Below are 27,059 nucleotides of genomic sequence, written 5' to 3'. Positions count from 1 at the left end.
ATATAAACTACATTCTTTTTAAGAGGTGGGGGCTACTCATACTCATGCTCCTTCCTCATCATTTCATTTCCAAGAAGGAAAAAGGAATCCTAATTGTATAATTTCCTAGGAGCTCAGGCGTTCTGGAGCCAACAGCACAGAAACACACACGCACTCACACACGCATGCACACACATGCACACACTAGGGGAAAGAGGGAAAGCAAGAAAGAAAAGAGGAAGAGGCCCAAGAGGATCTTTACTTAGCAAAGCAGAGTGGAACAAAGGGGCAGGAGGGCAGGCATCTCACTACCTCTGATCGGGTTTTCTAGCTATTCATGTTAAGCACACATACTTTTAACTCATAAGACAAAACCTCTGCCTTCCTCTCTCAAACGCTGAGCACTGTCTGAAAAGCACCAAGATTTGGGTGAGCCTGTATAATCCCTTTCATTTTTCATCTGCTTTGCTGATTGTCAGGTGAAGCAGAGCCATTTGCCACTCTGCATGTGACACAAGGCTAGGGGCACACAGATTCCGGCGTGGCCTTCCCCACGAGTCAGCTGTGTGCAGGTAACTAAAGCCTGCCCTTTGCTTGCTGTTAATAAGAATAATTGGCACACCACTGAGGGGCTGCTGGAGCACTGTGATTTGCTCAGTTCGGGGGTCTCCCCAGACCATATGTGCATGCAGCGGTGATAGAAATATTTTCCATATGAGCTCTCCTCTCGCCTGCTTAAATGCTCCAGGCTGAGTGAGGCCAGCCCATTTGTCATTCACTCTACACACGAAAAAAATCAACAGGGAAATTGCGAACTTCAACTACAACTAGAGGGCAATGGTCTGCTTTCAGCTTCCAGCATCACTCACCCATTCAGTTCCTCCTGCTCCCATTCAAGGGCTCAATCCCCCCACAGGCCCAGAAAATGTCTACAGAGCAGAGGACATGAGTAACTAATAAGTGAAAAGCCTACAACAAGTGACCCGTTGCTGCATGTCTCTGAGCTGCATGTCTGTTTTGAACAGAGCAACAAGCCTGCTGAAACCACAGCTAGCCTTGCAGCCGTGGGCTTGGGAGCACTCCCACTTCCACTCTTCTTAGACAAGGGAAAGTAATTACATTAGGCTTTCAGAGCCTGCTTGGTCCCTGACAAGGCTAACAAAAGGCAAAGCTGTGAAGTGGCCTCATGGCCTTTTTAGGAGATACACTTTTCATTTGGCTTTTCAAAGACGAAGATGGATGCAGGAGAAAGGCTGTCCTTTCGTTACTCAGGCATCAGGGTAAGGAGGGAAAGGAGTGGATGAGGGAAATACGTTGCAGGCTTGTTTGCAGGTGAGGGTGGATACACCAAGGTGCTTCCCTCTCTGGACTCAATGATCATCTATCCCAATCTCTTTGCCTGCATCAAAAACTGACTCCAGGAGGTATCACTGATGTTAAAAAAAAAAAAAAACTGTACCCAACAATCACATGAACTAAACCAGTAATAATAAATCATCCTCATGAACTTAAAATATGTCTCCCTGCTAAGGTACATCTGGGTACACTCCTAGCCCTGTTGTATATCATTCTCCCTCTTCAAATCTATGATAGAAAGTTAAGCACAGATTTTTCTAAGCACATCAAAGAAAAAAAAAAAGAGAGAAGTGTTGCAAAAGCAGGGAAGAAAAGCAATTCCCCTAGCATGTACATTCTCTCTGCAGCACTGGAGAAAAATTCTCAAAAGGTAACAGTCCCTAACGAAATCTGACATGGCACATCTTTTTTTTTTTCTGCTACAGCAGGAGAAGCGTGCGTGCTACAGGCATCTGTCACCAAGGCCAGAGCAACTTCCCAGTGTGGCAACTGCACAGACAGCTTCAAAATGACATTTTAGAAAGTATAAAATTCTTCAAGAAGAAAAGAAGTCTTCATATAAGAAAAGGCAAGAGAAGCCTACAAAAGTAATATAAAGCATTACTCTTTGCACCCCATAAAATTCCATTCCCTGATCCCTCTTGGTAGATAGAAGAGGAAATATAATGCTGAAAAAAAATACAACTTCTGACAAGATATTTTATTTGGCTTACCTCTCCCCCAGGTCTTGCTAACACTGCTGTTTGAACGTGGAGCAATGTTAATATCAGGTAGCTGACAAACATTATTACCCAAAGTTAGAACTACCCTAGAGGAGAACTCCGTCTGCCAAGTGCTAACAGCTAGCAGATGCACTTGTGTCTCGGGATTCCAGCCCTGGAGTTCCGCTAGGCACCGCGCTGGTTCCCTCGGCTCTCCCTCACTGTACTGCCCGGCGCTTCGAGCTCAGCCTCTGTTCTGAAGAAAACTGGTAAGCTGATCTCTTCATGTAATAACTTCTCCCGGCTGGGGGAGGGGACAGGAGCCAGCTGGGAGCTGGGGGGCTGCCTTTAACAGAAAGCAGAAAGGGGAGGGACAGAAATGATCAATGTGGAGTTCTGCATCTGGTCTCATTCATGAAAAGGGTTCCAAGGTAAGCACGCCACATGCAGGGGGACAGCCCCTACCTCGTCCACTGAGGCAGGGAGGAGGCAGTGAATTGCAGCAGGATGAGCTCCGGGCTGGGAACGGGGAGAGCCAGGGCCTTCCTAGTCCAGGATCTGGGACTGACAAGCTGTGTTTGCCTGGACAAGTTGCCAGTCCGCTCTGGGCTGCAGTTTATTTTTCTCACTTATACAAAGGTTGGGTGAATGACTTCTGAGTTCCCTTTTAGATCTGATTTGATGGTTGCAGAAATCTAGGCAGTTAAAAGCTGCATTATCAAGGGCAGCCTCAACAGGGACAGAAGTCACAAGGGTGATGTGTGTTTGTGCACCAGTTGTATAGACACAAACGGATGGGAACTGTGGAAGCCATTATATCCCCCTCTTGCTGCATCCCTGGGTCACTATGCCTAACCAAGAGCTTGAGGAATTATTGCAGAAAATGTAAAAATAGGTGGTAACATGGGAACAAGTGAATCCCAAGTGTCAGACAGTGCTGTCAGAGTACACTGAAATGCAGGATGGTTTTAAAGAAATAAGAGCTACCTCTGAGTAGACTCACATAGACCATCAAAGTGGGGCTTGGGAGCATGGGGAGCAGGCTGGGAAAAGGGTCTTCCTAAAGCCTACAATGCACTTGAGATACACTTTACATGGTCACCTGTTATCCTGAAATAGCAGAGACCATGGTTTAAAATGGATTAGAACCCATCAAGTACTGTATTCTGCCTAGAGTGGGCTCAAGGTGCTATTCTGAGGCTCTTGGTGGCCACAGAGGATAGGATGACTGCACGGTGCAGTGGAAACACCCTGAGGTCCTGGAATTAGGCAGGTGTGGGTTAAACTCCAGTTGTACTTCAAACTCTTCATGTGTGTCTCTGGGTGAGTATTTAACCCTGGTGAGCCCTAGTCTCCCCTCCTGTGAAATAGGGAAATGCCATCCTATGGTTATGATGACTATCAATGAGCTCACCTAGGCACAAAATGTGGCATAGTTCCTGGCACACAGTAACTACTAAAGACACAGGCTTTCTCTTTGATCTGAAATAAGTATCAGCAGCCAGCCCCAGAAAGTAAATTAATAAACACTTGAAAAGCCTCAGGTTATGAGCATTTTCCTGCATTAATGAGGAAACTTTAAACCTAACTGCAGTTCGTAGCCATCTCAGAAAGTTTATTATCACCAGTCACATGACCATTTACCAGTGGGGAGTTTTTTGGTGGGGGACAGGGAGGGAAGAACTTTCATTCCTTTTTACAGGGCTGTAAGAGAAAAAAAGGTATAGTGAGGATAATATCTCCAGTTAAGGAAAGAAAGGAATGAATTTTTCCTCTTCCTCCTTCTTAGTCATTGTTACTGTTCAGCTTTGGTTCTGTTCTGCTACCTAACTAAAGGGGCAAAGTTATCTACCGAGTAACCTCATGAGAAATGCAGGAATTATTTAAGAAAGCCAAAGTTCTTGAAAGACCAGGAGTGTTGTCTAGCCAGGGGTTGGGAAACTTTCTGTAAAAGGCCAGATGGTAAATATTTTAGGTTTTACAGACCACGTGGGCTCAAGTAGCAACTACTCAACGCCGCCATTATAGCACAAAGGAAACCACAGACAACACACACATGAATGGGTGTAGCTGTGTTCCAATAAAACTTTATTTGTAAAAACAGACAGGCGGCCAGATTTGACAGTAGTTTGCCAGCCCCTGGTCTAGACACTTCTCAATCACCCTTCAATCCACTGCAATCTTTTGACCTGTCTGCTCTACTGCAAGGGCTCTGGAAAGGTCACCAATGGCCCCTGTGTCACAAAATTCAAAAGAGAATCACTAAGAACTCATTTACTTCTCTGTAACCATGTCCTCCTTTTAATATTGTGGTAACATATAGACAACATAAATTTATCATTTTGGCCATTACTAAGTATACAATTGAGTGGCGTTAAGTACATTCACAATGTTGTGCAGCCATCACCACTATTCATTTCTAGAACTTTTCCATTATCCCAAACAGAAACTCTGTATTCACTGAACACTACCTCTCCATTTCCCCTCCTCCAAGCCCCTGGCAACCTCTATGCTACTGTCTGTCTCCATGAGTTTTCCTGGTCTAGGTACTTCATATAAGTGGAATCATACACTACAGTATTTGTCCTTTTGTGTCTGACTTATTTCACAGAGCATGTTCCCAAGGTTCATCCACTCTGTAACAGGTATCAAAACTTCATTCCTTTTTAAGGTTAAGCAATATCCATTGTATGGATATACCACATTTTGTTCATTCATCCATCTGTTAATGGACACTTGGATTGTTTCTACCATTTGGCTGTTACGCATAATGCTTCTATGACCATGGCTGTACAAGTATCTGTTTGAATCCCTGCTTTCAATTCTTTTAGATATATATCTAGGAGTAGAATCACTGAATCATACGGTAATTCTATGTTTAACTTTTTGAGAAGCTACCAAACTGTTCTCCATAGTGGTGACACCATTTTGCATTCTCACCAGCAATGCATGAAGGTTCAATTTCTCTACCTCCTTGACAACACTTATTATTTTCCACTTTTTTGACAATAACCATCTTAATGGGTGTGAAACGTATGTCCTCCTGTTTGAACCACTCTCTTTCCATAGCTTCCAGGGCTATGGCTCTAGATTTCCTTTGCCTCTAATCAGCCAACATTCGTTGAGCACTATGAGCCCAGTATTACTAAAATTATTTTAAAAACTTTTAAAATAGTTTCATGTAACCATGACAACAGTCTTATTAAATAATTTGCTCCATGTCACACAGCGGTAGGTGGCAGTCGGCATTCTGACCCTAAAAGCCTTTGTCCAGAGCCTGACTCTTAATGACAGCACTGCCTTGTTACCATTGCTCTGGACTCCTTGACACACCCTGGGCCTAGCTCCTAAATTCCTATATTCTAGGCCCTGTCTCCTCTCTATCTGCCCTTGTTGGGCCATCCTATCCTTCCAATGGCCCCAATGCTTTACACATCCATGACTCTTTTTTTATTTTTATTTTTTGAGATGGAGTTTCATTCTTGTTGCCCAGGCTGGAGTGCAATGGTGCAACCTCAGCTCATTGCAACCTCTGCCTCCTGTGTTCAAACAATTCTCCTGCCTCAGCCTCCCGAGTAGCTGGGATTACAGGCTTGCACCACCATGCCTGGCTAATTTTGTATTTTTTAGTAGAGACAGGGTTTCTCCATGTTGGTCAGGCAGGTCTCGAACTCCCAACCTCAGGTGATCCACCTGCCTTGGCCTGCCAAAGTGCTGGGATTACAGGTATGAGCCACCACACCCGGCCCACATCTGTGATTCTCTACAACCATCTGTAGCCAGGTCTCCCTCCTGACCTGTAGGTCGATATACCCAGTTGCCTAATGGATACTTGCATTCCTCAAATGTACTCCAAATTCAACAGGTCTAAAACTGAGCTAGTGTTTCCCTGAAACCTGTTCTTCCTCCTGTTTCCTCCATCTCAGTAAATGACATCATTATCCATATAATTCCCAGGGGCTGACAACAGGGTCTTCCCACTCCCTCGCTTTTTCATCCAAACCATCATTGGGTCTGATTGAGTTTCCTTCTAGAGAGCTCCCCAACAGGTCTATGGCCCCACATTCCTGCTGCCCTGCTCCCATCCAGCCCTCCATCATCTCTTCTTGACTTTATGTAGCAACCTTCTTGTTCTGTTCTCTTCTCCTTCCAGGCCTCTTTCCCAGTGCAGCCACTGGGATCTTCTAAAATGTGACTCCAATCATGTCACTCTCCTGATTTTTTTCTAACTTTTTTCTTTTGAAATAACTTTAGGTTTACAGAAAAATTGCAAAGACAGCACAGAATATCATGGCATCTCTTCACAATGTTAACATCTTACATAACTATGATACATTTATGAAAACTAAGATGTTAACATTGGCACAATAATATTAACTAAACTACAGACTCACATTTCCCCAGTTTTTCTCCAAAATGTACTTTTTCTATTCCAGGACCCAATCCAGGAGACCACAATTACATTTAGTCATCACATTTCTGTGGTCTCTCCTGGTCTGTGACCATTTCTCAGCCTTTCTTTGTTTTTCATGACCTTGATGCTCTTCAGGACTACTGCTTAGGTACTTTTTAGATTATCCTTCAATTTGTTTTTTTTGTTTTTTTGTTTTTTTTTTTGAGACAGAGTCTTGCTCTGTTGCCCAGGCTGGAGTGCAGTGGCACAATCTCGGCTCACTGCAAGCTCCGCCTCCCGGGTTCACGCCATTCTCCTGCCTCAGCGTCCCGAGTAGCTGGGACTACAAGTGCCCGCCACCATACCCAGCTAATCTTTTGTATCTTTAGTAGAGATGGGGTTTCACCATCTTAGCCAGGATGGTCTCCATCTCCTGACCTCATGATCCGCCTACCTCGGCCTCCCAAAGTGCTGGGATTACAGGCGTGAGACACTGTGCCCGGCCCAATTTGTTTTTTTCTAACGTTTTTTTCATGATTAGACAGGGGTTAATGAGTTTTTACGAAGAATACTATAGAAGCAAAATGCCCTTCTTATCACATTCGTCAGGGGTATTCTATTTCAATATGACTTACCACTGATGATGTTAACCTTGACCATGTGGTTCAGGTGGTATCTGCCAGGTTTCTCCACTGTAAAGATAGTATTTTTCCTTTTCCATAGCCTATTCATTAGAAATGAATCAGTAAATCCCATAGAATTAAGATCTCCTTCCTGGAGGGGGAGTATCAAAGAATATTCCAACATATGTTAAAACCATCACAAATTCATAAATATTTTAGAGGAGATACTTTGAGGCTATGCAAATGTCCTGTTTTCTCTGCTAATTTTAATACTCATCTGTAGATCTTGCCTGCAGTAATTATTACTGCAGTGTTCTAATGGTGATTTTCTGTTTCTCTCATGCCTTCTGCATTTAACCAGAATTCAGCAGTATGGATGATTTGTCCCGCCTCCTCCATATATTTATTAATTCAAACATTTATTTTTACTCCTCTGCTCCTTAAAATCTTTTGATGAGTGTCCTTTGGGATGAAGTCCAAATCCCTTCATATGACAATTACAAGACTGTTTGCAATACGTTCTCTTCCTGCCCTTCCAGCCTCCTCCTCCTGTCTTGTGTTCACACACACTTCATTCTCCAGCCATCTTAAGCCACAAGAAATTATCTCAAATACCATGTGTCCTTGTGCTCCATACCTTCTTTCCTGGTACTCCCTTTCTCTAGAAAGGTCATTCCCCCATCCTCACTGAGCTAGCTCCTGTTGCTTTTTGTCTCTAAAAACTTAGCCCAAATTGTTCATAAGCACCAAATATTGGAAACCACCTAAATGCCCATCAATAGAGACTAATTGAATAATTTGTGACATCCATAAAATGAGGTACCCTGAAGCAACAACAACAAAAAATTGAGTTTGCTTCCTATGTAATGATATGAAACATATCCAAGATTTATTGAGTGAAAAAAGTAAGATGCTCAGAGGTGTGATTACCATCCTATTATTTGCATATGCATGTTTATAATTGCTTGTCTATGTGCTATCTGTGGAAGAACACACTGGAGACTACCAACAATGGTTACCTCTAGGGAGGGAAACTGAGTTGCTTCAGGACAGAAATGCGAGGAAAATTTATTATTATACATCTGTGCTGTCTCATACTGCAGCCACTTAGCCATGCACAAATACTGAGCACTGGAAATGCGGCTATTCCAAATTGTAATATCCTGTAAGTGTAAAATGCACTTCATACAATTTGAAAACTTGGTATAAGCAAAAGAATGTAAAATATCTCATTCATATATTTTTATGTTGGGTTGATGTTGAAATAATATTTTGAATATGTTGGGTTAAAAAAATATAGTATTAAAATTAATTTCACTTGTTTCATTTTACTTTTTAAAATGTGGCTATTAGAAAAATAGCCACACTGGTGGACAGCATTTCTATATACCCTTTCATACTTATTGAACTGTCAAACATGTGAATGTATTGCTATTCAAAAAGTAAATAAAATGAGGCTGGGCGCAGTGGCTCACGCTGGTAATCGCAGCACTTTGGGAGGCTGAGGTGGGTGGATCACTTGAGGTCAGGAGTTCGAGACCAGCCTGGCCAACATGGTGAAACCCCATCTCTACTAAAATTACGAACATTAGCTGAGTGTGGTGGCACGTGCTTGTAATCCCATCTACTCGGGAGGCTGAGACAGGAGAATCACTTGAACCCAGGAGTTAGAGGTTGCAGTGAGCCAAGATCCTGCCACTGCACTCCAGCCTGGGTGACAGAGACTCGTTTAAAAAAAAAAAAAAAAAGGAGGCCAGGTGCAGTGGCTCATGCCTGTAATCCCAGCACTTTGGGAGCCTGAGGCAGGTGGATCATGAGGTCAGGAGTTCGAGACCAGCCTGACCAACATGGTGAAACCCCATCTCTACTAAAAATACAAAAATTAGCTGAGTGTGGTGGCACGTGCTTGTAATCCCATCTACTCGGGAGGCTGAGACAAGAGAATCACTTGAACCCAGGAGTTAGAGGTTGCAGTGAGCCAAGATCCTGCCACTGCACTCCAGCCTGGGTGACAGAGACTCGTTTAAAAAAAAAAAAAAGGCGGCCAGGTGCAGTGGCTCAGGCCTGTAATCCCAGCACTTTGGGAGCCTGAGGCAGGTGGATCATGAGGTCAGGAGTTCGAGACCAGCCTGACCAACATGGTGAAACCCCGTCTCTACTAAAAATATAAAAATTAGCCGGGCGTGGTGGTGCATGCCTATAATCCCAGTTACTCGGGAGGCTGAGGCAGGAGAATCGCTTGAACCCAGGAGGCAGAGGTTGCAGTGAGCCAAGATCACACCACTGCACTCCAACCTGGGCGACAGAGCTAGACTCCATCTCAAAAAAAAAAAAAAAAAAAAGTAAATAAAATGAAATAATGGTTGTAATAATAGTTAAGAAGAGAAATGAAGCCATGCACAAGTCCTCCTTGCTCCCAATGATTCCCTTAAATGTCACTTTTTCTAGGAGTTATATCTCATCAGGCTCCCTGTCAAGCTGAGGGCACTGCCCTGGCTTCTGTCTCCAGATATCCTCTGATTATCTCCAGTGTAATATTTATCATGATGTGTTGTAATTGTTAATTAATGTGTTGTCTTCATCAATACAGAGTGAGCCCTCCATAACAAGAGATGCATCTTTTTCTCTGTGGCCCCAAGAGTCAGCACACAGATAGCCTGATTCAATGAATGCCAAACAAGAGAACGGATGCAAAGGAGGGCTTTATAGCAAACTCTAATCTGCTTATGACGGGAGGTCTTCTAATGGTTCATCTTAGATACCAGAAAACAGAAAACGCAGAGGAGAAATTCCCAGAAGGTATATTCCTCAAGGAAATTCAAATAATTTCAACCTAACTTTTGGGTGACCTAAAAAGAGAAAATGTTAGTGGTACAAACGAGAGTATCAAAAAATACGGAAAATGAACATATGATGCCTAAAACCACACATCCCATGTAAAATATAATTGTGCACTACCTCTTACTAATAAAGAAGAGTAAACCATAGCAGATGTCACCTCTAAGGCTATTTTACCTCCTGCAAAGAATGTGTATTCTTTATGAAGGAAGAAGGAAGATGCAGGTTTCTCCACAGAGGTCCATATGGTATGGCTAAAGTGTTCAAACTATGTTTATTTCTTTACATATGCTGACATTGTGTGGAATAGGTGGAAAAAGTCTCTTGTCAAGAAAGCAGCTGGCTATCAGTCAGGGAGCTGGCCATGCAGGAAAGGAGAAGCAGAAGCAGGTGTTAGTAATTAACTCTCCCTTTGTACAAAACCAAGAAGCCATTAAAGAGCCACAGAGGTGGGAAATGAGGAAAGCAAAGAAGAGTTCTCTGCTGCATTTCTGGTGATTGCTCTCCCTTCTCTTCAAAGATAAGGACAATCATGAGAATCTACAACAAAGCAAGTCACTGCATCCTTACCCTTCTCTGATTTCTATCTGAAAGGGGCCAAAGCCTGGCTGGATCAGCACTTGTAACTATCAGGGCAGCCATGCAGTTAGGCTGAGCACCTTGCAGGTTCACTGAAAGGAGGGTTATGTTACTTGGCTCAACTGGGCTCAGGGATTTAAAGTGGGGCCAGGAGAAGGGCCAGAGACACAATCAGGGAGATGCTCAAAAAAACCATACAGGCCCATCCTAACTCTTACAGCACACAGGGGAGCTAGTTCAGACAATGCATTGGAACCATTCTCATGTTGACTGTATTCTTTGTTTCAAGTATTTGCTCTAAGGCAGAGGTTCTCAACTATGGTCCCTGGATCAGCATCATCAGGGAACTTGTTTTAAAATGCAACTATCAGGCCTCATCCCAGACTTATGAATTAGGAACTCTGGGGGTTAAGCCCATTGATTTGTGTTATAACAAGCCCTGTGGATGCCTGCTGGTTTGGGAACCACTGCTTCAAGCAATAATTATCTGTCTAGAAAACCTTAATTCAAATTGCACAAAGTATTATTTTATGAAATCTTATTTTCTTACAAAAGGTAACTGTCAGATACTAAAACATAGCACGAAGCCGTAATAATGAAAACAGTGGCAAAAACAACCAGCGACAGAAGAGACAGATCATTTACCTGACTAAACATGTAGAGGGATTTCGTGTGCAATCAATGAGTCACTTCAAATCATCAAGGAAAGGAAGGCAAAGGGTTGGGAATGTGGCCAGCCACTTGAGGAGTAAAGTTATTTCTCTAATTTATATCAATGACAAAATAAATTGCAGGTGGATTATAGGTTTTATGCAAACAACGGAAGTATGAAAACTGTAAAAGGAAATGTGTCTATATTTCTATATTCTTAATGTGGGGAAGGATTTTTAAGCAGAGCTATAATGAAGACAAAAACACAAAAGAAAATATTTATATATTTGTATATATATTTTAAAATTCTGTAAGTTGAAAATATCATAAACAGAATTAAAAGACAAATAGGCTGGGCACGGTGGCTCATGTCTGTAATCCCAGCACTTTGGAAGGCCGAGGTAGGTGGATCAGTTGAGGTCAGGAGTTCAAGACCAGCCTGAACATGGTGAAACCTCATCCCTACTAAAAATACAAAAATTAGCTGGGCATGGTGGCATGTACCTGTAAACCCAGCTACTTGGGAGGGTGAGGTGTGAAAATCACTTCAACCTAGGAGGCAGTTGCAGTGAGTCGAGAACACGTGATTGTGATTGCACTCCAGCCTGGGCCAGAGTGAGACTCTGTCTCAAAAATAAAAATAAAAAAATAAAAAAAAATTTTTTTAAAGCCAAATACACAGTAGAGAATGTATTTCACTTGTCCATTTACTGAAAATATCAGTACTTATCATCTGCTTGAACCAGGAAAAACAGACTCAATTCTTATCATTACGGAACTTTTTGTCTGGTGCAGGATGCCAACATTAATGAAACCCAACAAATACATTTAGAATTGCAATGTGAAAAGAATTACAAAGGAAAGATATATGGTAATATAGGGAGATTGTCCTCATTAGAGAGATTGGCTTGTGAGAGGAGCAATACTTGCCTTCCTGATGACTTGAGAGGAAGGGGGTATGGCTGAATAGAAGCAACCAAGGGGGAGCCAGCCCAGTATCAGATGGGCTGAGGACAAAGGGAGGGGCCATGTTGCAGAGATTTTTTCTTTCTCTTAATGAGAATCTACTTTAAGGGCAAGGGCAGCAGTTATAGGACCAGATTTGCATTTTGCAAAGGCTACTTCTGTTGTATGGCGAAGGGATTAGAGGGAGGCAAGAATGGAAGCTGGAAGACCAGTTAGAAGATTATGGCTGTAGTCCAGATGAAAAGGGCTAAGAGCTTAAACTGGGATGGTGGAAAGAAGTGAATGATTTCAAAGATAATTGACAACATTTATAGTGGGAAAGGGCTCAGGTCCACAATATATTTTTAAAAACACAAAACCCTTAAAGACAATGTTAACTGTGAAAGGTTGGACTCAATGTCTAACCGTAGGGGAGGTCCTAGATACACTATGGTATATCCAAAAAGTGAACTCCTATCCAATCCTTTAGAGTGACCATGCCATTGACTGCTGATACTAACAACATTTTGATGTTACATTTTAAGACAAAAGTAGGCTACATCAATAAGGGAAGAATAGTCTTTTCCACAAATGGTGCCAGGATAAGTGGATATCTACACGCAAAAGAATGAGGATAGACCCCTACTTCCTCCCACATACACACACAAATTAACTCAAAACACATCAAAGATTCTACATCATGGTCACTATAATTAATAATAATATATTATATACTTGGAAACTGCTAAGAGAGATTTTAAGTGTTCTTATAATACATAAGTGAATTAGCTTGATTTACTCAGTCACAATGTGTACATAAACCCAAAACATCATGTGGCACACCATAAATATATACAATTTTTACTTGTCCATTAAACAAATAAATCATAGATCATGGTAGGCAGAATAATGTCTCCACCAAGATGTCCACGTCCTAATCCCTGAAATTTGTGAATATGTTACATTACATAGCAAAGGGAAAACAAGGTGGCAGATGGAATTAACATGGCTACTCTGATGACTTTAAAATACAGAGATTATTTTAGATTATCAAGGTAGGCACAATTAATCACAAGGTTCCTTAAATGTGGAAGGGCCAGGCAGAGGAGGGAAGGTTGTGAAAGGAACTCAACCTGCCATTGCAGGCTTTGAAGATGAAGGGGACCTGGGAACCAAGGAATGTGGCAGCCTCCAGAAGCTGGAAAGAGCCAGAAGTAGGGATCCTTTCCTAAAGCCTCCACAAGGCCTGCGGTTTTGCCAACACCTTGATGGCAGTCTAGTGAGACCCATTTTGGACTTCTGATCTCTGGAACTGTAAGATAATAAATTTGTTATCTGATGCCACCAAATTTGTTAATTTGTTGTAAAAGCCATAGGACACTAATATATAGACCTGACTATAAGAGCTAAGATTTTAAAACTCTTAGAAGGAAACACAGGAGCAACTTCATGAGCTTGGGTTAGGTGATGGTTTTATAGGTGTAACACCAAAAGCACAAGTGAAAAAGGAAAAATAAATAAATGGGACTTTATCAAAATTCAAGACCCTGGTGCTGCTAATGATACCATCAAGTTGGTGAAAAGGCAATCCACAGAATGGGAGAAAAAATGTACAAATCATGTCTGATAAGAGACTTGTATCAGAACCTATGAAGTATTCTTATACTTTAATAATAAAATGAAAACTCAATTAAAAATGGGCAAAAGGTTTGAATAGACATTTCTCCAGGAAAAAACATACAAATGGTCAATAAGCACAGAAAAAGATGCTCAACATCAAGAGTCATTAGGGAAATGCAAATCAAAACCACTAATCAAATACACAGGTGATAACAAATGTTGGCAAGGGTGTGGATAAGCTGGAAATCTTACATACTACTAGTGGTCAGGTAAAATGGTGCGGCTGCCTTGGAAAAGTCTGCAGCTGTATCAAAAAGTTAAATGTAGAATTACCACATGATCCAGTAATTCCAATTTTAGATATATACCTAAGAGAAATGACAACATATGTCCACATGTTCGTAGCAGCATTATTCATGATAGCCCAACCCCCGAAATGGACGTAACTCAAATATCCATCACCTAATGAACAGATATATATAAAATGTGGTATATCCGCACTACAGAATATAGTTTGGCAATACAAAGCAACGAAGTATCGATACATGCTACAAAATGGATGATCCTTGAAAAGATATATTAAGTGAAGGAAGTCGGTCACAAAAGACCATTCGTTAAATGATTCCATTTATATGAAATGTCCAGTATAGGCAAATGTATGGAGACAGAGAGTAGATTAGTTGTTTCACAGGCCCGAGGAGGGTGAGCGGAAATAGGGAGTGACTGCTAATGGGTATAGGATTACTTTTGGGAGTGATGAAAATGTTCTAAAGTTATACTATGGTGAGAGTTGCACAACCCTGTGAATATAAATATACTAAAAAAATGAAATCAGTGAATTGGATGATGTATAAATTATACCTGTTTTTTTCTGTTTGTTTTTTTTGAGACGGAGTCTCGCTCTGTCACCCAGGATGGAGTTCAGGGAACAATCTTGGCTCACTGCAACCCCTGCCTCCCGGGTTCAAGTGGTTCTCATACCTCAAACACACACACCCACCACCACACCTGGCTAATTTTTGTTGTTTAGTAGAGACAGGGTTTCACCATGTTGGCCAGGTTGGTCTCGAACTCCTGAACTCAGGTGATCCGCCCGCCTTGGCCTACCAAAGTGCTGGGATTACAGGACATCGTGCCTGGCCATAAATTGTATCTTAATATGCTGTTTAAAAAGTAGGCCATAAAATGCCATCCTTAATATAATTTTATTTTGAGCAAACATAAAAGGTGAGTATCACATTCTTTTAATTTTGTTATTTTCTAATTGTTTTTACAGTGAGCAGAAAAATATAGTAACAAAACAAAAATTATTCTCATTTGGAAAAATAGTGAAATGATAAAAATGGGAATGACCATGAATAGGCAGTTCACAAATGAAGATACACAAATGCAATATGAGACTCTAATACGAAAACCAATTTAACATTAATAGTAACCAAAGATACACAAAATCAAATAACACGTTGCTACGTTCATCTGGAAAATAATTTTTATGAAGGATAAATGCCCATTACTGGCAAGAGTCTAGGGAAACAGGTAGTCTGACACAGGGTTGAGACTGCAAATGAATACAGGTGCTTTAAGAGTTGGGCTTTGGCCAGGCACTGTGGCTCATGCCTATAATCCTAGCACTTTGGGAGGCTGAGGTGGGAGGATTGCTTGAGCCCAGGAGTTAGAGACCAGCACGGGCAACATAGTGAGACTCTGTCTCTACAACAAAATTGAAAAGCTAGCCAAGTGTGTTGTGTGCACCTGCAGTCCCAGCTATTCAGGAGGCTGTGGTGAGCTGGGATCGCGCTGATGTACTCCAGCCAGGGCAACAGACCAAGACCCTGTCTCTGAAAGTGTATACAAATCACTTCGTATCTTAACATGATTTTAAATCAGTAGGTCTGGGATGGGGCCTGAGACTTTGGATTTCCAATAACCCCTAATGATATTGGGGTTATTTTAGTTCAAAATATATGCATTACTAAGCCTGCCAATAATGCCTACTTAGAGCACATCTCCTACCCGATCAGTAGGTCTCCCCTTCATCTTCAAAGCTAGCAATGGCAGGTTGAGTTCTTCTCACAACCTTCCCTCATCTGCCTTGGTCTTCTTCCACCTTTAAGGACCCTTGTGATTAAATTTTCTCCTACTAGTCAGGTGGGAGTCCTGCTCTAAGCAGGCAATATCAGCGGACTTCATAATGCATACATTTTCAACGAACACCAGTTCCATCTCTGAGAATCGTGGACATGAGCCAAAATTTGTCTAAAAAAGAGTTTTCATCTTGGTATTGTTCATAATGGTGAAAAATCTTAAATAATGTAAACATTTAATCACAAGGTCTGAGTTAAATACATCTTACTGTATGTTCTGAGATACTCTTTAATTATAAAACTAAGGTGTTGTAATATTTAGTGACACTGATTGGTGTATGCTGTATTGATGTGACAATTTACTAAGTGAAAAAAAGTTACAAAAGGGGATTTCGAGGATGAAACCATTTTCATTACACACAGAAAAAGTGATCAGAAGGCTATTCTCCAGCATGGTAATGCTGGTTACCTCTGCACGGTGATTTTTATTTTCTCCCACTTGCAAATCTATATTTCCTAGTGTTCCCACCACAAACACACAATACTTACGTAATAAGAAGGAGTAACGAAGTTTATTTTGATCCTGCTCAGATTACCGGGGATTTGCCCCACGGGCAACCCAGCTCAACCAAAAGGTGCAAAAGCTCCATCTAGAGGTTATTTTATCAAACTGCAGGCACCTGATCCCAGAAACCCAGGGAAGACTCAATTGCTCAGCAAATACAACTCATACTTCAGAAGGCACACACATGGCAAGTGAATATCTCAAAAGGACTGGCTTTCTTTCCATGACCAAAGGTGTTCACTCTCTGCCTAAATGGAAAACTTTACAACTCCCACCAGTGGAGCTGAAAAAATATTACCAGTGGGAAAATGACAGAGCCAACCAACTCATTGGTTTTCTTCCAAGGGTCTTCAACACACTCCTTCTCTAATCTTATTTTTACTTAATTAAATATAATTTTCTGCTTCGAATAGAACAGAGATGATTATTACTTTCTGAAAAAAGAAAGAAAGAAAATGGCTTTGCATGTTTTAAGAGATTTGTCAAACATCTATATTATAAACAGCCAGCACCAAACACTCTGGTGAAAGAGTTTAACAAATATGTGGCAAGATAAATTCTACATTAAGTAATTCCACCCTGGCTGGATGTGGTGGCTCACACCTGTAATCCCAGCAGTTTGAGAGGCCAAGGCGGGCAGATTGCGAGGTCAAGAGATTGAGACCATCCTGGCCAACATGGTGAAACCTCGTCTCTACTAAAAATACAAAAAAAAAAAATTGCTGGGCATGGCAGCATGTGCCTGTAATCCTAGCTACTCAGGAGGCTGGGGTAGGAGAATCACTTGAACCCAGGAGGCAGAGGTTGCAGTGAGCTGAGATGGCACCACTGTAATCCAGCCTGGTGACAGAGTGAGACTCCATCACACACACACACACACACACACACACACACACACACACACACACACACTCTCTCTCTCTCTCTCTCTCACCCTTTGTTGTTTCAGTCAGTGCTAAGAGTTTAGTGTTGGCATTGCTGACGGCTGTTACCCTTCTGGGTCATGTCTCTCTTCCCTCTAGGCCAAGGCTATAGAATAAGCACCAAAGGTCCCAGTGACCACCGTTGCATGTCTGCTCATGGCAGATTAACACAACAGTGTAACCTTACTTACTCCTCAGCATGGCTTGGACTGTATTTTAGGCTGCAGGACTTACAGAAATTTCTGAGGACTTGGAGAAAGTACGGGAAAAAACTGGAAAAACTGACCTTGCAGTAAAAGCTTAAGACTGGGGTTATGGGTGAGCTGGAGAAGAGGAACATGAAGAGGGGGACACACTGATGGTTTTCAAGTTCACAAGGGATTCTAATGCAGCCCTGGTCTTCCTCCACCCAGAATTCAGGCGTCTTCTGCCCAGTTTCTGCTTCTCTTATTTGGCAGCTGGAAAATATCGGGGAGACTAACTCAGAACAAAGAGCTAATTAAGTGATAACTGAATTGTAGTGTTACCTCTCCCTGCATTTCAACAAAAGAACAACATTTAATGAGTGCTTGATCTGTGCCACTAGGCACTGTGTTAAGAGACCACGAGTGTATTCTCTGTTTTAAATAACATGCCCAGTGGACAGGTCAGGTCAAGGCTTGGAAAAGTTAAGTGACTTGCTCATGATCACATGACAAGTCTGCAGCAAAGCAGGGATTCAAACCCAGGGCGTCTGTCTCCACAGCCGAGGTGCTTAACCACAATGCAGTAGAAGAATCTTACTGACTGCATTTTTGAAATGTGTCTTGAATTCACCCACTTCTATCCATTTTCATGTGTCCACAAGTTCAAGGCCTTGCACCTCCCGGGATTTTTTTCAGTCACTTCCTAACTGATCTCTGGGCTTCTACCTTGTCTATTTCCAACACAATTTCCACATCTTGAGTAGAATGATATTTTAAAACAAGAGCGGAAACAGGTCATTCTTTTATTACTTCAGGCGTTTCCTATTGCCTGTAGGATGAATGAGGAAGTCCTTAGGTCTGAATTTAAGAAGTCCTTAGCCAGGCCCAGAAGCCCAGCAGGATCTAGCCCCATCCCACACTCCCCAGCCCCTTCCTTATGACCCTCTGGTCTCCCTCTAGCTCCTAGCTCCTTCCTGCCTCAAATGTTCACTCATTTTTTCCTATGGCTCTAAACTCATCCCTTCTTTTGCCTGGCCAAGGACCACTCCTTCAGGTCTCTGATAGAAGCACATTCTTCCAGAGAGGCATTCTGACTCAAAATCTAAGTTAGCACCCCTGCCCCTATCCCCGTCAATGCCCCCGCCCCCCATTTAATTTCTCTCTAAGCCCCTGTACTTCACTTTCTAGACCCCCTTCCTCATCCACAGCACAGATTTCTCATGTAATAATCTCTTCAAGTAGACAGTAAGATTCCTGAAGGCAGAGGCAAAGATTTTTTTTTTCGGGGGCTTGGTACACAGTAGGTATCAACCCATGTTTTCTGGTGACCATATGAGTGAAAGAGAGCAAACACTCCACTGACCCTAAGGGATACATCTCTTCAGGGTGAGATTCCTTAATCAAGGCAAACTGGATGAGGAGATATTTTGGAGGACAGATCCTTTCTAAAGTTCCTCAAATCACTGAGATGTCAGCTGATACCATATTAAATAGATGTGTATATTACCATCTTTGTGCTGGATAATGAATGATTGGGGCTTTTAAATACGTGGGCATGTCATATTTAGCCCCAAATAAGTAGTGTGTCATAAAAACTCACACCCAAAAACCACTGCTTGGCCTCCTCAATGAAGAATCACTAAAGTTACATCTGACCCTGGATATCCTGTCCTGCTTCAATCTCTGATCTTTACCTCCTTCCTCCCCGCTTTCTCCCAGCCACAGGAGCTGAGCTGGCAAGAAGTGTGGCAGCACCATACTGAACTGGGGAGTTCTGACTGCTGCTAACCTCAACTTGCTGGAACCAGCCCCAATCTTGGCACTGAGTGTGCTGGCCCCTGAGCTGCTGTAACTGCCATTCGGCTGGTAGTCTTCTTGGCTGGAGTGTCTTCCAGCTTGCATACAGAACTCGTTCATTTTCCAATAATAATTTCTAACAGGGGTGTTTCATTTTCTTCCCCCAATAAAAAGGATTAGAAGAAGATAGTTTTGAAGGCTGCAACTACAAGCAAAAAGTGGCAAGAAGAAATCAATAAAAATTGTAGAAGTAGTTACCATAACAGAAGCACTGCCACCTAGCACCATTCCATGTTGGGATAAGCAGCCACAGATAATTTACAAGTCTCCAATGTGATAATTCATGTTCATAAGCATAACTCCCGAGCATATCCCAACAAACCAGGTCATTAAGAAAGGGTAGGGTTTTAATATTTATTACGTCAGGCATTAGGCTGGGAGGTAGCTATGATCCCCATTTAATTCTCAAATCCTGTAGATTAAGTATCCTTCATTTTACAGTTGATGAAGCTGAAGGCTGGAAAAGGTAAAACTATTTTCAGTACATTTTGTTCAAGAAAACATAAAAGTATATAGGATACGTTAGACAAATCTTTGATGATTGTCTAATTTCTGGATTTCTGACTATTTAGAAAAAAAATTACTTTTATTTCTTCTGTCTTTACTAAGCTTCCCCTTCTCAACCTAGCACCTGGCACCATGAGTGTTTAATCTGATTGAAAACACAATAAGTGTAGTTAATCACTAACCCCAGCTTTCAATTGAGACTGTTAGGTAAAAAGTCAAATAGACTTCCTGCTGACAGAGAACCTCATTCCATCTTTCTTATGATCAATATACACAGCATATTTTGAATAGATAAGTAATTATGACATTTGTTTTCCCACAGTAACAACATAGAAAATGTTCAGAAGAATGTCAGTGCTATCATAAAAGGGGAAAGTTTAAAAAACTCACCTCCTGTTTCATCAAGTTTATTCGTTAAGGCAAAGCTAGCTGCTATAACAGATGAACCTTGACAACTCCTCCATGGCTTAACATGAAGAGCTTATTTCTTGCTAGGGTAAAACTCAGATGGTGGGCAGGGAGGGTAAAGCTCCACACAACCACTTAAGGACCCAGGCTGCCAGAGGCTCTATGCCCCTCAATACATGGTTTCCAAGGTTGCACTGGACACTGATATCCACCTGGCAGATGGAGAGGGGAAAAAGTGGAGAATCACCAGGACTGGCCCATCTTCCATTGGCTACATCCAACTTCAAGAAGGCTGGGAAATACGGCCTAGCTATGGACCCAGGAGGAAAGAGACTCAGGTTTGGCAGACAACGAAAGAGTCTTTGCCATAGCAGTCAGGATCTTCCAAAGAAGTGAGTTCATAGCTGTTATCTAAGTTATATGAAAGTGTGATGTGTATTAGTAATAAATTGATCATGGATAGCTCAGACTTACTCTTTACCATCCATGAAACCTAAACACCTGCCACAGATCAAGATTTCCCCCTCTGCTCCTGCTTCATCTAAGGCCAGTCAGGAAATCTGATGAATCTGTGAAAGAAGCATGTCTCATCATCTCTATCAGTTGATTTTCAGATATTCCAGTGTCAGTAACAAAAGGTAGCCAGTGAGGGAGGTTGTGTTTACATTATGGGATGCAGGGAGGCAAGGAAAAGAACCTTTATACAGTGCCTCCTCTATAAGGATGCCTGACAGACATCTTATTTAATTTTAATAACCACGGGGGAGAAATTTTATTTCCATTTTCCAGATGAGGAGACCAAGCTCACAGAAGTGGACAACTCTACTAAAGGTTGCAGTAGTAATGAGTTACACTTTGGTTTGAGTGCTATCCAAGTCCACGTACTTCCCCCATACTGCTTCCCACGGAGCTGAGGGCTGCTGGCTGCCACTGTGGGTTGTTGCCTGGAATGAGAAGTTGCTGACAAAGTCCTCAGTGGCTGCTCCAGATGTTCTTAAGGGCCATGACTCTCAGAGAGTCAAGGACCCCATCCACTGCAAAAGTACGATACATGGGCAAGAGCATTTACCTCTCATTCTTATCACTGACTCTGACAATGGCAGAGATGGAGGGATGAGGGAGAGTTTCCAAGTTAGCTGTCTCCCATTTTCAACTTTTGTGGTTTTCAATAATAAACACTCTGGAAAGTTGGGTATTTGTCTGAGAGCAAGAGAGTCCAAGGCACTGTTCAGTCTTACTTAAGGCAATTTTCTTAGGCTTATACCTAGGATATATCAGGCAAGACATGAAGAGTTTAAATTGATTGGTGCGGTGGCTCACAACTGTAATCCCAGCATCTTGGAAGGCTGAGACAGGAAGATTGCTTGAGCCCAGGAGTTTGAGACCACCAGCCTGGGCAACATGGCAAGACACTGTCTCTACAAAAAATACAAAGATTAGCTGAGTGTGGTGGTGTGCACCTTTAGTCCTACCTACTCAGGAGGCTAAGGTGGGAGGATCACTTGAACCTGGGAGGCTAAAGCTGCAGTGAGCCATGATTGTGCCACTGCACTCCAGCCTGGGCAACAAAGTGAGACCCTGTCTCAAAAAAAAAAAAAAAAAAAAAAGAGGATAAACATGGGGAAAAAAAATCAACAAAATCTGAGTAACATCAATGAAGAAAAGCAGCAAAATTTAAAGAAAATCCAAAAGAAAAAACATTAACTAAAGTGCTGTGTGTGTGTATGTGTGTCAGAACCTAACTGATGATGTCGGGAATGGATCAGTGGTTTGCAACCTTTTTGCACTTTCAAACACTCAAATTTTTGGCTATACATTTGAAGGGCATTAATGGGGAATACATTATGAAAAAGAAAGTGTTGGGAAGTTATAAAAACTTCCTTCTGTTGTCACATTTTTCACTTTTGTTGCCCTCCATTTGAGAATTATTTATTGCCCTGACCACAAGCCTTTTTGTATTCATCAGAGAAGAGTTTGTGTGTTTCAATAAATGGCTGTCTTAGTCAGTTTTCTGTTACATCAAAATACTTGAGAACGAGTAATCTATAAATAATAGAAATTTATTTCTCCCAGTTCTGGAGGCTGGAAGTTCAAGATCAAGGCTCCAGCAGCTTTGGTGTCTGGTGAGGGCCCCGTCTCTACTTTCAAGGTGGCGCCTTGTTGCTGTGTCCTTACATGGTGAAAGGCAGAAGGGCAAAAAAGGCTGAACCCCGGGTGAAGGCTATTTTATAAGGCATTAATCCCATTTATGAGGGAGGAGTCTTCATGACCTAATCACCTCCTAAAGGACCCACGTCTTAATACGACTGCAATGGTGATTAAGTTTCAACATGAATTTTGGGGAAGATTCAGACCAAGGCAATGGTCATTTTTCATACATACTAACTTGACATGACACTGTGCCTCTTAGCTATGGCACCATAAATTGTGCCTCATTCTGTGCCACACTCCATAACTTGCTCAGTTCAGCATACTGTCCAACAGACACTATAAGAGAATCTATTCTAGGTTGAATCAAATACAAATTTTAGATACACATCAAAATTTGGCAGAATACCTGTGTGCCATTGCTACACAATAAGCTACCACACTAGCCCTAGGGATTCACATCACCTAATTGGAAAAGTGTCAAATCAAAGTCTCGACATTTGCACAAGTGAGAGATTAAGCTTCATTTCACATATGCAGTTCATCCCACCCATAAACATGCCAAGAGAGAGTCAACATCGTGTTTCTAATGCAGCGACTATTCCTGGAATATTCCAGTGCAACTATTCCTGAAATAGTTTCTTTCAGGAATAAAAAACCAAACACAACTTAAAAAAAGAATCACTAAACGAAACCTAAAGACAGCACAATAAAACTGCCAAAACGACTGCATTTCTGTCTACTTGGTAGACCTCTAAGCGACTCTCTCCTAACAAGAAAGAAGTAACTGGAAAATATTCTGCCTGTGCCAGTGATGTGTGATTTAAGAGAGGAAATATTTAGAGGCTTAAGAGACCTTTGCAGGGAGTCTGGAAGCCGGCTGCAAGTTTGAAGAAATTTGCATTCTCTGGAATCCAGGCTCATTTCTCTCTGGGAACCACCAGGAAGTAAAGTCCATAAACTGAGATTTTAGACGGTCCTTGAAACCGGCAATCAATCAGAACAAAATGAAACTCGGTTCAAGTAGGCAGTAATTTATTGTGGCATTGTCCCCAGCCTACAGGGGGAAAATTCAGCCATTTACAATGAAATAGTGATGGGTCAGTGAAAACACTCTAAATTTGATAATATATCCAGGAGCAGATGTAACCGAATAGGGTCGGTTCTTATTTCCTTGGTTCTACTAATTCACTTACTGTTTACTGAGTGTCTGCGTGTGTCGGGTGTTAGAAGCTCCTGGATGAATGAGACCCATTCCCTGTCCTTGAGGGGTTCAGGTTCTACAGGGAATGGGAAAGGTGGTGAGTCTGTAGCTGGGGATGCTAAGGCAAAGCTCTCACCAGCTCTCACCAAGGACCATGATTTTCTATTGCACTTGTGAGACCATTGAGATGAGATGAGATGCAAAGAATGTATCTCCAAAAATCCCAACAGATTCTGACTTTTCAGCATGATTTAGGACACAGACTTCTTCATCTGCGTCCTGTTTCCTCACAGTTGGAATGTTCTGTCCATGGACCATAACAAAAGTCAGTTATTTCTAACTCATTACTTGGGAAAACATCTCCCTAATACATAAAACATTTGCGCAGATTTCTCTGTACATTGTACATCTGTATAACTGACTCTCAACTCATAGTTTGAATAAACGCATCTGTGGGCACCTTTCAACCACCCCCACTCCCTGGCTCTGTGCCCATGCCTGACCTTGTCCAGTTCTGTATCTTCCTCTGCCTCCTGCATATTTCCACTTGCAAGTCTTACCAATGTTTCAAATCCAACATGTCTATAATTAAATCTGCAGTTCAGTGGTTATGAGTGTCGGTTTTAACATTAGGATGCTTAAAGTTAAATCCTGGTTGTAGCACATATTAGCTGTGTGTTCCTGGGCTAGTAATTTAATCTCTATGTGCCTCATGTTCCTCATCTGTACAATTAGATGATTGATGGTACCTATCCCTTGAGGCTGCCATGAGAATTAAATGAGACATTACATGTAGAACACTTAGCAGGGAGCCTGATGCATAATAAGTGCTCAGTAAATATTAGCTATTTTTATTATTCATTGTGAAATTGATGGCTACATTTCTCTCATTGATACCACCATTTTCCTTCTAGGTGAGAGCTCAAGATTGAAGAGTCCAGGAAGACTGCATCCAAGATGCATAACTGCTGATCTTGGTTGGCCCCTTTTGAGGCATGGACAAGGGAGGGAGGGAGCATGGGCAAGGAAGTTCTTTGAAGTATAAAGCAAGAGGCCGGGCATGGTGGCTCACGCTTGTAATCCCAGCACTTTGGGAGGCCGAGGCAGGCGGATCACAAGGTCAGGAGATCGAGATCATCCTGGCTAATACGGTGAAACCCCGTCTCTACTAAAAAATACAAAAAAAAAAAAAAAAAAAAATTAGCCGGGCGTGGTGGTGGGCACCTGTAGTCCCAGCTACCTGGGAGGCTGAGGTAGGAGAATGGCATGAACCCAGGAGGCGGAGTTTGCAGTGAGCTGAGACTGCACCACTGCACTCCAGCCTGGGTGACAGATAGAGACTCGTCTCAAAAAAAAAAAAAAAAAAAAAAAAAAAAGAGGCATAAACCAAGAAGGGCTCTTAGCTCATCTCCATCTTCCTCCTGTGCTCATGGCAGACATTACAAGTCATTTACAGCACTCTTTCCTGCGCAGCCTCCTGCAGCTTAGCATCCTTCTCAAGGCAGCATGAGAGTCAGCCATCCAATGCAGCAGAGTTGGCACACTGGGTGAAACATACTTGCTGCAACTGCTCTAAAGCAACAGCTTCTACTGTCAAGAAGGTACCAGAGAAATAAGAAACCAAACCACAGGACAGTTGCACGGACTATTAAAGTCAGAGCGTCACTGTGCAAACCTGCAAATGGCTTCTGCCAGCTGCCAGTTACTGGTGTCAGTCCCTGTGGCTATCTTTAAGGCTGGCAGGGGTCTTGGAAACAAGCCTGGCCCTCATCAGACTGTCCGATTCCAGTTTTCTTCATTCCATCTTTCTGAACGTCACTTATATTATCTTTTCTCAGAGGGTGGATGCCATCGAGCAGTATTTTTCAGAGGTGTGTGGACCACTTGTTCTTCAAGATAATCTAGATAAAGCAGGCCTATGGTCAAGTAAGTATGGGAAAGACTGTCCTCTAGAAACCTTCTTTAGACACTTATGATATACGTGGGGATGTTAAAGGCTTACAGAAATCCTGCAGGATAGACACCTGTTCAATGCTGTTTAATCCAGTGTCCCCCAAATGTCTTTATGTATAGAACCATTTTCCCCTCACACAATAGCTACTGATATCCCAAGATCCAGCATTCTGTAGCACATATTTTGGGGAAATATGCCTTGGTGTCAAATTAGGATTTTCTCTTTCTCTTACTGACCACACCAAAATTTATCACCAAGTTCTGGCAAATTCTTCCATGAAATATCTCCTGCTTCCATTTCCTCCTCTTTATTCCCATGGCTCCTGCTGTGGTCGTTCCTTATTTCCCCAGTCCTGGACTAAGGCCACAGCAGCCAGTGAGCCCAGTGTCTGCACCCTACCCTTGCTATCACACTCCCCCTGTCAAACCATCTTCCTAATACATCAGCATCATTGCAGTAGGTTGAAGCGTGGTCTCCCAAAAGATATACTCATGTCCCAATCCCTGGAATCTGGCCTTATTTGGAAAAAGGGTCTTTGCAGATGTGACTAAGGATCTCATAATGAGGTCATCCTGGATTGTCCAGGTGGGCCCTAAATCCAATGGCATGTGTCCTTATGGAGAGACACACAGAAGAGAAACACAGAGAGAAAAGAAGGCCGTGTGGTGATGGAGCCAGAGATTGGAGGGATGCAGCCAGTGGGCAAGGAATGCCTGGAGTCCACAGAAGCTGGAAGAGGCCAGGATTGAGTCTCCCTTGGAGCCTCAGGAGGCAGCACAGCCCTGCTGGCCTTGATTCTTGATTTCAGGTTTCCAGCACTATGAGAGAATTGATTTCTGTTGTTTCAAGCCACTGAGTTTGTAGTAATTGGTTACAGCAGTTATAGGAAGCTACTGCAGTTATCACATCTTTTTACTCATCTCTAAAAATGAAGCAACACGAGCTAACACTGACTTACTCCAAAGTGTTGACTCCTCTGTTCCCATAACATGCCAGATAACCAAGCAGGACCCTCACTGTGGTGGGCACATGTGTGTTGATGTTGTGCAAGGGAGGCATCCAGACAGGCTTGGCTGCCCCTTTGCCGTGGTTCAGACTGAAGTCCCATTAAGTTGTTGGCTCCAAAGTCTCCCTCTTTTGAACTTACTAGATCTTCCTTTTCACCTTCCAGGTATACAAAACCTACTCCTCTAAATAGCATCTCAAGGTAGATATCCATAAACTCTGCCACTGACACCTTTCAGTTCTACCTAGAGACACAGAGGTGTTAAATCATCTATTCCAGGAGGCACACAGAAAGTCAAGGAAGATTCTGGGTTGGCTTGCTCTCCTTGCTTTGTATTTCTTCACCCCACATTTATTCATTCAGTCAACATGTGTTTATTGGGCACATATTAGGTGACAACCATGACATCCAGAATTGGTCGCACTTAAGCATGAAATTCTGACTACATCTCTTTCAATCAGTGAGCAATACTTTTCATTTTTCCAAACACTCAATCAGCAGTTGCATGTTTCTCTTATTGTCCTGGACCTCCC

The 27,059-nt window shown here is 42.2% G+C and overlaps 1 protein-coding gene and 1 long non-coding RNA gene across 10 annotated transcripts in view; one reads left to right on the top strand and one right to left on the bottom strand.

Annotated features, from left to right (window-relative positions):
• Positions 1–27,059, bottom strand: part of THSD4 (thrombospondin type 1 domain containing 4) — a 686,490-nt gene that overhangs the window by 233,854 nt on the left and 425,577 nt on the right. For 2 of the 9 annotated variants that reach the window (XM_017022584.2, NM_001286429.2), the window contains exon 1: positions 2,049–2,294. The exons of the other annotated variants lie outside the window; for them this stretch is intronic. In XM_017022584.2, coding sequence (XP_016878073.1) covers positions 2,049–2,120 — 72 coding nt within the window. In that variant the 5' untranslated portion in view covers positions 2,121–2,294. Of the gene's footprint in view, positions 1–2,048; positions 2,295–27,059 lie in introns of those variants that run through there. 9 annotated transcript variants of the gene reach the window in all.
• The window catches only part of LOC107984716 (uncharacterized), a 46,156-nt gene continuing 44,028 nt past the window's right edge, over positions 24,932–27,059 (top strand). The window contains exon 1 of the long non-coding RNA XR_001751787.2: positions 24,932–25,492. This is a non-coding gene — a long non-coding RNA (uncharacterized LOC107984716). The remainder of the gene's footprint in view (positions 25,493–27,059) is intronic.

The sequence above is a fragment of the Homo sapiens genome, chromosome 15, assembly GCF_000001405.40.
Source record: "Homo sapiens chromosome 15, GRCh38.p14 Primary Assembly".
Classification (NCBI taxonomy): Eukaryota; Metazoa; Chordata; class Mammalia; order Primates; family Hominidae; genus Homo; species Homo sapiens.
The sequence above is the reverse complement of the archived record's forward strand: the minus strand, read 5'-3'. Positions and strand labels throughout refer to the sequence as shown.